Consider the following 15046-nt stretch of genomic DNA (forward strand, 5'->3'; position numbering starts at 1 on the left):
ATAAAGTAGGTAAATACACTTTAATTGCACACATTATTAATAGCTTGGGGATTTTTTTTTAACTGCCAAGGAAGATGGAAGTTTTCTATAAGAAAAATTTAGTTTGAAATTAGTAAATTTCCATAAATTTCAAACAGCTTAATTGTTCTTAGAAAAATCCACAACTGCAGTTTTAGGGTCAAAATTTATTAGTTGAAATACTGTTTGAGTTAGAGAATCAAACAAGTATTTATTTCTCAGATTACTTGGATGATTGCCTTTGTAGGCTAAAAAAAGCCACTCATTTAAAATCAAATTGACTACCAAACTAATTGGAACATTGTTCCTTAATAACTATTTTAAAACACATTTATATTAATGACATGTCTATGAATAGTAACTTTCACTCCTACTGGCAAAAACTATGGTTTAGTTAAACCAGTACTGTATACTAACTGTGTGTGTGTGTGTATTAATGTATAATTTTGCATTCTTTAAAAAATATGTTGATGCTTGAATTTTGCTTTTGGGTAAATTTTAAGAATGTCATATTGTTAAAAACAACTCGAAGAAAGTGCTTATATCTTCCTACTGGAATTGCTCTTAATTCTTCTAGATTTTTTTTAGCGCTAACCATAAGAAGTGTGTTCTCAATGGCCATGATTGATCGGCTGCTCACACATTCCACATTTTTTCTGCTTCATGCATCATCATCAGCCATCTCCAACACTCCAGTCCTGAATCTGTCCTACTTTCTGTTACCTGATTTTTGCTGGTGATTCATGAGCCAGAATAGAAAAAGAAAAAAAAAAAACTCCACCTTGGCTTTTCACAGTATAGTATCCCCTGGAAACTCTGTGAGAAATCTAGTTTTGGTCATCAGACTCATGCAAATGTAATATTGATTGACAATGATGTATATAGATCTACATAGATAACCTGCCTTATAAAAACCACAAAAATGTTCTATTAATGGCAGAATGCATACTGATTATAAACTACTTCAGAATGATGTGGAAACACTTACGTAAATGCATTTTGTTGGACTTCTAATTCTCTCTTGTCACTATTATTTTCAGCTGAAGCTACTTTGGAGTGCACTGTTTCTAGTGCACTAAAAAGAAAAATTATTAATTTTCCAAGCCAATATGGTGACAAAGGCTTAAGGTTTCTCATTAACACTGTCATAAAAATTGTGAATGTCACACTAAATTTTCTATCATCGAATGAGTTTAAAGATGAGGAGCTAGAAATCCTTAAAAAATTATTCTGAAGAATGAAAAACAAGCTTTAATCACTGTAAAAGAAACAGTAAGAAGTTAACCAGCAAAAGGCTCCACTGAACTATTTTTGTGATAACATCTTTCAGATTCAGAAGCAACCAGGCCTTAAAGAGCCAAAGAAAGAAAGCCTAATGGCCCTAAAATCTCAAAAGAGGGAGCTGAAAGTTCATGATACTGTCTCAGTGCTTCTATTACTAGACATCAAAGTTATTCCCACAGGTTTCAGGAAGGTATAAATGCCAGTGAAGGAGCAAGTAGACTTCACAGAGTCTAAGCCGGAAACTTCAATCTGGGATTCACCTGTGAGTGAAAACTCTTTGCTAATGAATTATTCCGAAGACAAGACACTACTCAGAGACACTTTTCCCTATCAGACAAGACCTCCAGGTTCACTAGCAGGGTCAAAGTAATAGGAATGCTCTGGTCTAAAGGTGCTTTGCCTACCTTAATGGACTCCAGGCACTCACCTGGGTATACAGCTTGAACCCATAAAGAGATCACAATGGCATGATGAATAAGGTAGAGTGCTCTAGAGACCAGGTGAACAATCACTCCACAAGCCATCTAAATTGTGACCTATATGCAGACTGCAGCCCATTTACAAATGGGTCATCCTAGTCAATTCAGTGCTGGAGAAGGAGTGATGCCAATATAAAAATAAACAATCTACATACTGAGTTCAAGCCCATTGTATTCAGAGGTAATACACGAAGTGGTTATTTCTATTTTATATAAATTCAAGCAACTTGGCTTTGTTAATGACATTTTAAAACTCTATCAACATCTAAATATCAACTTCACTTTTTCCAAAAACTTTTTCTGTGCTTCAATGTCCCTTTTGCTTTCTGCCTATGAAAATACGTTCGTATTCACAATATAAAACCAGAAGAGTTTAAAGTAAAATGATGTTTACAAGGTTTGCAAAGAAGAGAATTTATGTGGAATGAACAATATACAAAGCAATATACTTGAACTGTGTTTGCATGGAAAATACTTTTTTTCATTTTCTATATGCTGTTCAAACAACTGAGCTATTCATTAAAATGATGTAATAATTATATTAGTCATTTAGCATTGCATAGATAAAACCATGTAAGTTCAATATCCATTAAAGTTAGAAGATTGACCACATTCAGCTTTGTAACTGGGGGATTTTGCAGGTACATAAAAATGTTAAAAGGAATTTTAAATGAATGAAAACATTCCAGTTGAAAATGGTAAGAATGTGCATTCAGAATTAAATGCACTCTTTTCCATACAGTGACTAAGGAATACACTAATGCAATTGTAAGTTTAGCTACTGAAGCACCTCTTCTGGTTCGAGGACATTTTCCCAAATCTCACCACCTAAAAACCCCAAATTTGTTTCTTCTTCTGACTGAGGTAGTTAATATTTTCCAGAGAAACACCACTCACATGTGGTAAATAGAGGTAACTAAACCACTAGAGTAATGCTTATGGTTTTGGAACCCCTACATTTTGAAAGACTTGATATTTTGAAGTTAACGTTTGGGCTTTGAAAAGTGAAAAGTCATATTTTTATAGTTCAAGAACATCCCTCTCTGCCACCAAATTCACACGAGAAACATAAAACTTATTTTCCTCCATGTTCAATTTTAAGAATTTTGCCCATCGAATACTCATGCTTCAAGGAAACACACTCTCTCATCAAAATCTTTCTTACTAAACAAGCACCTCTGTCAGAAGTGTCTTAATTTCTTATCACAGAATTTTATCCACACAAGGAGCAATAAATAATTCATGTCACTGCCTCTTTGTTGTGTGTCCCTGAACTGCACAGAGCTGGAAGGCTGACAGCTGTGTCAGGACAAGCACCAAAGATCTGACATGACAAGTGACTAACAAGTTTCTTTCAGTTCACAGTGAAAGAAGACAATGGCCCAAAGTGCAGAAAGAAATCCTAAAACAAAATAAAACTGCTTCTTTCTTTTTAGCTAAGTGTTTGCTATGAGCTTATTTCCAACCCACAAGCCCTGGTCATTTTATAGGACTGCCCAGCCCCCTTTATTCCTCACACTGGCTTGGCCATTTACTCCTGGCCACGGATCAATATGAGCAATTCTTGGAGAAATACGATGTCTCCATGACAACCAAGCCACAAATTCTCAGTGGAAGGCAGTGAGACCAGTAGTGAACTCTCCAGAGGTTTCTAGGCCTATAAGGCAAGATGTCTTAAAATGCAGGAAGGGACAGAGGAAAAAGCCAGAGTAATTCATTCTTTATTACCAGCATAATGATGTCCGATGTATAGAACGGTACTCACTTTTTGAGTTAAGATTCTTTATCAGCACCTATATTTTCTAATTAATCTTTCTTTCTTGATAAACACGTTTGTGTGTATCAATCAGATAGAGAATGTTATATTTGAATCTCGCTCCCATTCCATTCATATTAAGGGATGATGGAAATTTATTCTACTTTTGAAATGATATAAAGCTGATCTATTCTTATCAAAAACAATGGACATTTAGGTAAAAACCTGATTCACAGATTTACCTGTCTGACAAAATGAGTAATAGAAAACTGTATTAAGACACTTTTAAAACCTAATAAAAATTTGGCAACATTAGTCAAAACTAAAAGTAATGGATAAATAATTTTTATTATAGAAATTTAACACTACCATTTATTTACCCTCTCCCTTTTAGAGTGAGACTCATCTACATTTTTCTTTTGGCTATTATGGCAAGGGGTGGGGTTAATTTGCTCATTAAACATTTCTGTCACTGCTAAAGATGCCATTTCTCAGTTCCATGGGATCTGAAAGCAGAAGTGTGGTTGAGAACAGGCACAGGGCAGCAGTCCATCTTCAGAGGAATCTTGGTGGAGTGAAGAGGACTGATATACAATGCCATCGCCACTGCGCCTATTGGGGTTCCGAGATGACTTAGGGGACCTGACATAGATTGCAGGCTGCACCTTTCACTGAAAATTAAATCTCAGTAACTCTCCTTGGGGAAGGATCAGGGGACTGTTTGTTTGCAGCTGCCCCCTGTCAACAAAGGCTACAAGATTTGGAAATCTCTTAACTAAGCTGACAGGCCACAGAGAGGATGAATCAAAAATATGATACATGGATCAGCACACAAAGATGTGAGAGGGTAGAGGGTACACAGGAGCCAGATAAAACAGGAATCACAAATATTAAGTGGAGGAGATATTTAACTCTTTCATTCATGATAATAAGGTACCTTCTAGCACCTTATAACTTTGTATTTATCCAGGAATGTTCATTCGACTTTTACAAGATTTTTTGATTCTAATTAATTAGTTAAGGCTAGGCGTGTTTCAAAATGAAACAAAAATAGAAACAGAAATCCTTGTATAAGTGTTTCTAGCTGTATCCTTCTAGTACATTTCTCTTTTATTTCTATAAAGGATATATACAAATATGTAACTTTGACAAAGAAAAGCTTTTATTGCATGAGAGAAGGGTTACTATTTTCTAGACTTTATTTTCCCTAAACATTTGACAGTATTCATTACCATCATGCTAAAATCCTGTCATCCCAGTTACAGTCCTGTTTGTTTCTAGAAAGGTAAATAGAATTGTAATGATGACAGTTTCTCTTTTCACCCCCGTCTGTCCACTTCCGCTCCCCTCTTGTTAGTTTCCATTATTTGAAATATTTAAAATGTTGCCATTTCTCTATAGTTTCCAATCTCTGGCTCTATTAACCATTTAGCCTAAAATTGATGATAATGAACTAATAGTGTCAGCTTCCCTTCTCAGTCATAAAGCCTTTGTACTTCCTCCAACTGAATTCTTGATGAAAGAGGAAAAGATAACAGCTCCACACTGTGACCCCTGGAGGTGACCATTAATTTGACAGTGCAGCTGCTAAGAGAAAACAGCATTACAATGTCCTCTCCCCTCACCCCCTTCCAAGGACCCCAAAGCTGTGTCAAATTTATCATTTTATACTTGACTATTTTTAAATGGCTTTCACCTGGACTCTCAGACTCTTCCAAGGCACATCTGTCAGGCATGTCCTCCACGTCTTGGAAGTTTGCCGAGTTTGAGTTGCTGTCATGCTTGACCGGGCTGACTGGAGCTATTAAAAGAGAGAGAGAGAGAGAGAGAGACAGAAGAGAGAGGATGAAAAAGTAGTAGCAAACACCATTAAAACATTTCCTTTCAGTTCCACAGATATTTCCAGGGACACACTATGTAAACACAAATAATAAATTGAAATAAAATGTATCCTCTAAGTATTTATTGGCAGACATGTAATTAGTTGAAAAATCTATAGATGTGACTTTATCTTAGAAGAAAAATAAGTTCACGGCATCAGCTTAAAAGCTACAAAGTAACAAAGTGATCTCTTCGAAGTAGAAATCGTATTTTTAATGCATAAATCTAAAACAATATAGTCAATTAACAGCAATAGAACACAGAGAGAAGAACATCAGGCTAGTCAATTAGAAAGACCAGCTCTGTACTGGTGGCAATGTTTCCTCTCACTGCACTAATCACAGCTAATGAACATTTTGTGTGCATTTTGGCTCTCTTTCATTAAATTAAAAACTATGGTACCAAACACCAAAAAAACTAGTACTATAAAAAGTAAATTTTAAAATGTAGCATGAATATACACTGAAAGTTATAATAAGAAGGGCTATTGTTTCAAATGGTAGGTCTCCAGACAACCTATCATGAGATATTGTAGAATTATGACCAGAAATGGAAACTAGTACAGAAGTCCAAAATTTTCTATAAACCCATGGTACCGACTAATTCTGTTTGAGAAACAGACTGAAGTTTCCACTTTTTCCACAAGTTGTAATACTTGCTCTATGTTGTCTCCAGGAAGTAACATATTTCCATATTACATTTGTTCTAGAAAATATTTGTCAGAAAAAGTGGGCCTTGTCTTCATGAAGAAGCTCAGTGAAAAAGCAAAACAAGCCTGCAATAGCATAAATTAGGTCACAATTAAGCCAAATGTTCTAAATATATGGATACTGTTGAGTACAATGGAATTTTATTTATTACAAGTTGCTGCAATAAACACGACTACTGATTTGATAACACATGCAATGTATTTATAAACCATAAATGCAATAAACAAAATATATATTTACAAATCACACATAAGATATGTTTGTTGGCACAGGGGAGTGGGCCTAGACACTGTTTCTAAACCTCTGTTACCAGACAAGAAAGCAATGCAGAGGCTGAGACTGTGCTACTTCACACATTTGGTACGTGACACAACGGTGTCCCACCCAAGGTCCAGTCAGCATTAGTAGTGTTCAGACCTGGCACACTCCTCCACTTATTTTAATGAAGTGTGCATAGCACTGATGTTTGTAACCTGAAGACCACACGGACAAACTTTAGAGAAGACTAGTAACATGATTCTGGTTTAAATATTCCTTCTAGATTGTTTCACCAACTCTCTCAGGACACAGATATGACTTCTCTGTTCTATCAAAGTGCCAGCATAGTTAGAATTTACTACGTTTCTAAAACCTTTTTTGGGAACAAAATATAAGAAAAGCATGAAATTGCTATTTTCAATAATAAATCTGATCTTTTCATTTTCATCCATATGTTTCTGTGGACTTCACATGCAACAGTGTCTAGGCCATAGAAGGTATTCTTGAAGGATCTGTGAAATGAATGAATGAACACATGAATGATGCAGAGGTACCATGCTAAATGTCCTTCTGATCCAAGAGGATATGTGCTTTCAATTATCTTTTCAATGGATCTGTTCAATTTCCTTGTTAGGCCAACTTGAGACCAAGGATGCATGTTTGCAAAATGGTGATGTGGGTTAGTTTGTGACATGGAAGGAGAGGATGTGTGGCCTAAGTAGTTATTGATGCAGCTGAGTTTAATTTTCTTAATTTTCTTCAGTTTAGGTCATACTTACAGATTATTTTTGAATCCATAGATTTTTTGTGAAATGTTTAAGTGGTATAGTTAAATGTATCAGTTTCATTCAGAATACTATTATGTTGGTCAAGATTTCCTGGCCTACTTTAATGATTTTTATCTCTATATATCTTTCTTGATAATTTTCTGAAATATTTATGTTGGTATTTATAAAAGGAAATAAATCATATAGCTAAATCTATTACTAAAAGCCAATGAGGTGGCACCTCTATTGATTTGGGCAAATGCATTGCACTTGCCATCCAACACACTATTCTTTCATAATTTAAAAAATTCCTCCATTCATTCATTTATTCATTCCTTCAAAAAATATTTATCAAGCACCAAATAAATATTCAGAAGATACTGTTCTAAATCAGGGACCTCACAGAGGAAGAGGACATGGTATTAGACAAAGTACATGTCTGCAACCATTCTTTGTGGCAATAAAGTGGTCCCAGAATGAACTGACATCCCAAACCCTTCAAAAAGGCCAGAAAGTTAGCTGTAGTTTTAGCTGCATGATCTTCATTAAACTCACACTAGTAGGTACCATGCTACAACTTTGCTTCCACCTCTGATTTTGGAGGGTGTGACTTGTGTGGGGGAGGGGAAATAAAGATGGTTATTCTTCAGATATTGAACTTGGTTACAGATTAGTTTCCAAATTTAAAATGATACAAGATTTGTCATTTTTACTGGATAGTTCCTAGGGCATCCAATTAAATTTACTGTAGAAGAAATAGCTACATTCTGCCAGTTGGGAATAGAAGGCACTGGAGAGGTTAATTACTGCCATTCTACTTTTTCCTTGTTTGTTTGATAGGCTAATCCTTGCAATTGTTCTTTTGGGTGTTTCCTGTGATGTTTCATCACTGAACTCTGACATGATGTGTGACCAAGGCTTCTCTAATGAATCACTTCAATAATGATGAATCAACAAATATTGCTCTAGTGTTTATTATGGGTAGAGCTCTGTGCTGGACTGTGAGGGGTAAAGACATGAAGGCACTTTTAATGTGCCCTCATACAACTTGTGCTCTAATTGAAGTGTGATGAAAAGTAACTAGTAGGAACACCGGAGAAGACATTCTAAGAGGGACATGGTTTTTAGTAGTGCAGAGGAGAATTCCTCTACAATAGAGTAGTCTGAAGGTAAAATTTGAATTAGACATCCTTGAGTAGGAATGTGGAAAACCCAAAGGGAGCTCATTCAAGGAAAAAGAAAAGGGTGTGAACCTAGGCATGACCAAAGATACACATTAGCCTAGTGCCACAGATATAGTTGTTAAAGCTGCTGCCTACTTTGGTATGTATTTTTAATGAATTCTCTTTACATGTCTCTTTGAGCTTTTTCTAAATTGCTGCTGTTAGCTAATTCTTCTCACCTGTGAAAGTTAGCTATAGACAGGTTTTTCCTTGCTTTAGATAGTCAATAATTTGATCTTTACTCATGGTGGGCCCATTTATCACAGTAAGTTGTCCTTTTACTATACATATTGACTTTTATTTATCAATACCAAAGTCCATTTGTAGCTCATCACTAAAGTTCTTGGATATTTTCAGTAGTTTTTGAAGGTGCATTTCAGAGCTTGGCAGAGAGATACTTTTGACATCAATATAATGCAAATGGTTGCTAGACTTATCTTTAGCTTAAAATCAACTGTTTATTTCCTCTGTAATGGATTCTGAAATAGTCCACATTTGAAGGTAAGGGGCAAAAAAGGCAAACTCTTCTTGACAGTTCTGCCACTGAAAGATGTAAGGCTATTCCATTTACTCATCACATGCCTCAAAATATTGACGACTGAAGGGCCAGTGTTCTAAATATCTTTGCAATATCTTTGGTAGCTAGAGAAGAGAGGAATCTATGAACTTCGTATGGATGTGTTTCACTATGGTGCATTTAACTATTAGTGTAATTCTTCTAGATCCTAAAGAAATGAATTGTTTGGCCAAAGAGAAGATGAAACCAATAGTTTTTAAATCACATTCAAGAACACTGTAAGAGGAAATTCAGGAGATAGTATGAGGAAGACTCTATAGCAGGATTTGTTGTTAAAATTAGAAAAGTGGTAGCAGGGCCATCGGTGATAATACTCCTCCACCTGCTCTGTTCTCTATTTTGGTTTCAGTCATTCTCTAAAAATTCCGTTCTTCCTTTTCTCCTCACTTGCAGAAAGATGGTATTAGCTGTTAAAGGGGGCTAGGCCTAGGCAGCGAACAACTCCCCCCAGAAACATTTCCACATCCCCAGCAAGAGAGTGGCCACTGGAAAAAAGTCTCCATCCACGTCCACAAACAGTGGCTGGATCTTCCAAGCTAGGCAACTGCTGTTGGACAGATGGAGCCCATTGAAAAAACCCTATAATTTACAGTGTGAATAAAATCTGCAGTCCTAAATAACATTTTCAATACAATAACTTATGAATGATTTAAAAATAGATCTCATTCGTCATCTGTATAGGCTTTTTGGAAGTAATGAGGATATTTATAGGAAAATCATTAATTAAAAGATAGAGCAGTTTGAAATATTGGGCAACTGAATAGAATAAACCACTGCAGTACCAGACCAAAGCCAAACAAAAATCTTAATTACACATTAATCAGGGGCACAAAAATAATGTACAGGATGCAGAGGTCAGGAAAGACTAAAAGATAGCTCAGGCCTGTGAAATAAGCAGTGAAAAAGAACTCAAAGATTTGAATTCAAAGTTACTAGCTCAATATGGTAGCCAAGAGTTGAATGCCATCCTGCTTTATAATTCAGATCTCTCTCCAATTTTAAAGAGTCACTATAAAATAAACTAAAAGATAGCATTCTAGAAGTATGGAAGTGAGAAAAGCTACATAAAATTCAGGTAGAAGAAAATATTAATGCAATACTGGCAGATCTCAAAAGACTGCAAGATATTTTAAATCAGAGGGAGGCATAATCTATGAAAAGATGTTAAGTGGTAACACTAAATTTGTAAACAAAGATGATGTCATTTGAACAGACTCCAAATTCAGTTTACAAGTGGCATCTCTCTGGACAGATGTCTTATCAGGAAAACTTATCTGGCTAAAGAGCTGTGTACACATCACCCTTACTTTAAGAGTATCTATTCAGATAATCAAGTGCTAGGACTTCCTGATTATATTTGAATAGCAATAGTTACATATTGCATTAGACTTTAGGCTTACTTTGTCTTCAGTGTGAACTGGAAATTGGGGAAGAATCATGTAGAAATGCCCCCAATTAAATTAGGTATCTAACGCTTCTTTATAACTAATAACTATTTTACAGACAAGTTTAGCAAGATGAGTTAAGGTTAGACTTATGTGTTTTGCCATCTTCCTGCAGTTGTAATCTAATATGGAATATTATTTTGTGGGTAGCATTTTCTAGAATGAATCGCTTTAAAGAGGATCTATTTTTCAACTAATAAAAAATGAATTTTCTGAAATGTTGTGAAGAGTAACTATTATTTTTGTATTATTACCTAGATGTAGAGAATTTAAGTTATTATTTCATTTAAATACACACAGAGAGGATTAAATTATTGACTATTTAGGCTTAGGGGAAAAATCTGTCTATAGCAAACTTCCACAGGTGAGAAGTATGGCTAGACCCCCAGCCAAGTTTGGGGAAGATAAATGAGAAAGAGGTATCAATTGCTTACGGAATCTGTTTAAACATTGCTGTATTCCTCTCAAATTGTTCTGTTATTCAGGACTTTGAGCAATGGGCTGCCTCAGTAAGGCTGATAAGCAAGCAGATACTGCACTTCCAGCCTAATGCAAGGCACAATAAAAACTTTTTAAAAATCAATGATTAATTTCACTTGCAGTTTTAAGGGAAAATCTCAAGGTCTAGTTAGGGTTTACAGCTCAAGCTTAATCAAAAATGTCCAAAAACTTCTTATTAATGCCAAAAGGAAGTCTGCATAAAGAAGGAAACCCTGTCTGACTTATTTTTGGATGGAAAATAATATTCCACACTGTTTAGCCCATATATATATATATATATATTTTTTTTTTTTTTTTTAAAAGAATATAAAAAATTTCATTAAAGAGGTGAACTTATGAGTTCCCAGAGAGGGAATGTGTTGTATTGTTAAAAACAAAAAACAAAACAAAACAAATCCTTAAACAGGTTTCAATCTTACCTCTGCTCCTAATAGTGTAACCTTGGGCATGCCGTTTCACTTCCCTAAACTCAGGTTCTTTCCTTTATAAAATGAGGGAGTTGAAGTACACAGCCTCTTTGATACCTTCCAGCTTTGAGACTCAAATATTCTGCCAGCTAAGAATCCAAGACCAACCAACTACTGAGTATACAATTGAACAGGATACTAAGAGGGTAAATGGCCACTACACTAGTGTTGGAACTAATGAGGACTTCTGAGGCCCTTTCTGAATTAAGGAAGATTGGCATTTTCCTAAAAGAGAAAGTGTTCCTTCTTGGTTTCAGTTTCTCAGCGATAAGGAGGTTCTCAATGATTGCTGAACGAATAGACAAGGTTATGGAGCAGTATGTGTTCCTGTGGACTCATACTCTCCTCAATCCAAAGGGAGAATCAGTATACTCCCAACTCTTTCTATTCCTTTTATATGTAAGGATGGGGTCCATGAAGTCATTTTGTCTTACTCAAACCAGGCATGAAAGCCAACTCAAATCAAATTATCTAAACTCTCAGAATCTGAAACAGATTATAAGGATATAGGATGGAAGGAGTATTACAAAGAGAAAACGTGTAGGTTGGGAAGTAGAAAAGGAGAGTAACAGGGAATGGTACAACTGCATTCCTTCCTCCTGCTACATTTCCTCGCTCCCAACCAGGTAATTCTAAGAGTTCCCACTGGGAGGTTTGCCTAGATTTCTTTATGTTCTCCTTTGGAAAACCATTTTTTGTGGCAAGCAGTGTTCCAAGGAGACAGCTGGTGAGTAGATGAGCAGACACTTAAAGGAAATTTCAATAATTTCCATGACTTTGGTCTCTGAATATTACTGAGTAAATCTCTTCTTTACCAAATTGTAGATAAATATACAAAATAAGAAACATTACTTCTTATTTTGTATATTTATCTACAATTTGGTAAAGAAGAGAATTTCTATATACAAGAAGTTAATTGGTCATATCAGTAAGCTGAATTCCAGTTTTTATACCATACAGATAATGAAGAAAAAGAGATTCAGAAACATCTGAAAGGATCTGTTCATCACTAAAAGAAGTATGGTGGTGAATGATTTCTAAGAATGTATAGAAACTAATTCGCACTCTTTATGCAATTTAGTTTCTGCAAAGTCGTTTGTTTTCTTTTTAAGGACCAAATCCTATGGTAAATACAGAAATGTATTAATTTTACTTACTGTTCACAAGTTCAAGAAAATACTAAGTTGAAAGCAGGAATACATTCCAAAGAAGAAAATAAATAGATACCCACATATTGATAAATTGAAGAACAGTCAGTAAAGGGAAAATTCTAGGAAGAATTTATAGTAAACTTCCCAGCTTGTATTTAAAAATTTAGAAGGAGGCCAGGAAAACAAGAGACCCTTCAATCAAAAGAGCATCATGCTAGCATTTGAGACTAGAGATAAACATGATTTATATATGAACTTAAGATAAGGATTCACATCACAGGGCAATTTAAACCAAGGAAAAGCACCAAAAAACATTCCCCTCTTGAATCAGTAGGAGAAAAAACTGTTAAATGGCACTAGCACTGGAATTTGTAAGAGCAGCAACCTTTCCACAGACTGAAGCTAAGACAACACCATCAGTGTGGGGAGAATAGTTGGCAGGCAGTCTCAAATTCCCAGCTGACAGCCATCTCTATCTCAAGGGAAAGCGTTTGTCTCAGATGGTTAGTCAAGTGTCAGAGCTCTTTCATCTCCCAGATAGGAAATGGAAAATAAGAAAATCACATTATCTAGACTACGTCTCCATTTTCTAGTTCTTTGTCAACATTAAGAAGGATGCAAGGAAGAACATGTCTGAGTTACCATATTTCGTATCATTAGGCTGAGTTACTCTGAATGTGACTTATTTTTATTTGAATGACATCAAAGTGGTATGTTAGCTACTTAAAAACATATTGAGATTGAACGAAAGACATGCTTGGATGCTAACAAGTATTTTACAACTATATGATAACGCAATCAGTAGTGAGTATCACTTTCTCACACCCCCACACCCTCCATATGCATTTACACAAGACATAGAAAGCATAGGTGGTCTGTTGGCATCAGCTGGTTCTTACTGTCACACATCTCAATGTAGGCACTCATTTAAAAGTATTAGTTTTATTGAGAGATAAATAACAGAAAGATGCCTTCTCAAATCCTCAAGCTGTCTCACTGCATAACACTGAGTATTTGGACTAATATCTCCAAGAGATGGTTGCTGAAAATATGGAAGTGACCTTGATAAGTAGTAGAGTTTCATTTGATATTACATAAGCTACTGACATCTATAAATAAAGGATAGGAGAAACACACCTAAAGAAAGCCAAGTTTTAAAGAGCAAACATGCACGTGGATAAAGGGAAACTAGTAAATATAATCTAATGATACTTCCAGAAAGCTAGGTTCCATACAAAAGAGATGTTATCATATTGGAGAGCTAAGAAATAGGAAACAAAAGGTTAAGAGATGAATAGATATTTCTAGATAAGACAGTTTCCTAGATTAGTGTAAAAATCTCTCTCTCAATATAGTTTTACACATTGTTTGGAAAAATGCATGGTAAATCTCTAAGACACTAAGGGTTCTTGAGTTGTGAAATGTTAGACCAATTAGATTAGTTATAGAAAACAATCGTAAGGCAGAATGAATGAGAATAAATGTTGCATACACATTTGAGTAAAGTTTGGGAAACATTTAGAGGAAACACAACCCAAAGTATATGTAATACACTAATCGTTAGAGAAATGCAAATTAAACTACAATGAGACATCATCTCACTCTAGTCAAAATGGCTTTTAGACAAAAGACAGGCAATAACGAATGCTGTCAAGGATGTGGAGAAAGGAGAACCCTCATACACCGCTGGTGGGAATGTAAATTAGTACAGCTACCATGGAGAACAGTATGGAGGTTTCTCAAAAACTAAAAATAGAACTACCATATAATCCAGCAGTTCCACTGTGGGGTACATGTCCAAAACAAAGGAAATCAGTATGTCAAAGGGATATCTGTATTCCCATGTTTATTGTAGCACTATTCATGAAAGTCAAGATGTGGAATCAACCCAACTGTTCATCAGTGGATGAATAGATAAAGAAAATCTGGTACTATACAAAATGGAATATTATTCAGTCATAAAAAGAATGAACTTCTGTCATTTGCAACCATATGAATGGAACTGGAGGGACATTATGTTAAGTGAAATAAGTCAGGTACAGAAAAACAAATATCACATGTTCTCACTAATATATGACAGCTAAGAAAATATTGAACTCTTAGAGATAGAGAGTAGAATGATGGTAACTAAAAGAAGGTTAGTGGGAAGCGGGGGATAAGAAGGGATGGTTAATGAGTACAAAAATACAGTAAGATAGAAGGAATAAGATCTAGTGTTTGGTAGACTATAGTTAACAATAACTTATTGTACATTTCAAAATAACAAAAAGAGTGGAATTGGAATGTTCCTAACACAAAGAAATAATAAGTGGGTGAAGTGATGGAAACCCAGTTACCCTGATTTCATCATTATACATGTATACGTACGTCAAAATATCACATGTAACCCAAAAATATGTATAAGTAGTATGTATTCATAATAATTACAAATAAAAAATTTAAAATAACCCTAAGTATACGTAATAAGAACATGGCACTGAGCTATCATTTGTTATGACTCAAGGACATTGTGTCAATGTAAAAATGTAG

The 15046-nt window shown here is 35.2% G+C and overlaps 1 protein-coding gene and 1 long non-coding RNA gene across 14 annotated transcripts in view; one reads left to right on the forward strand and one right to left on the reverse strand.

Moving 5' to 3' along the window:
• Positions 1-15046, forward strand: part of LOC105370826 (uncharacterized) — a 107205-nt gene that overhangs the window by 72190 nt on the left and 19969 nt on the right. The window lies entirely within an intron of this gene.
• The window catches only part of WDR72 (WD repeat domain 72), a 249138-nt gene that overhangs the window by 4244 nt on the left and 229848 nt on the right, over positions 1-15046 (reverse strand). For all 11 annotated transcript variants that reach the window (NR_102334.2, NR_102335.2, NR_102336.1 and 8 more), the window contains one exon: positions 5234-5338. Coding sequence is in view for 8 of the 11 variants with exons in the window: in XM_011521436.3 (XP_011519738.1) it covers positions 5234-5338 (105 nt within the window). In the remaining 3 variants the exon portion in view is untranslated. The remainder of the gene's footprint in view (positions 1-5233; positions 5339-15046) is intronic.

The sequence above is a fragment of the Homo sapiens genome, chromosome 15 (assembly GCF_000001405.40).
Source record: "Homo sapiens chromosome 15, GRCh38.p14 Primary Assembly".
NCBI classification, from domain to species: domain Eukaryota; kingdom Metazoa; phylum Chordata; class Mammalia; order Primates; family Hominidae; genus Homo; species Homo sapiens.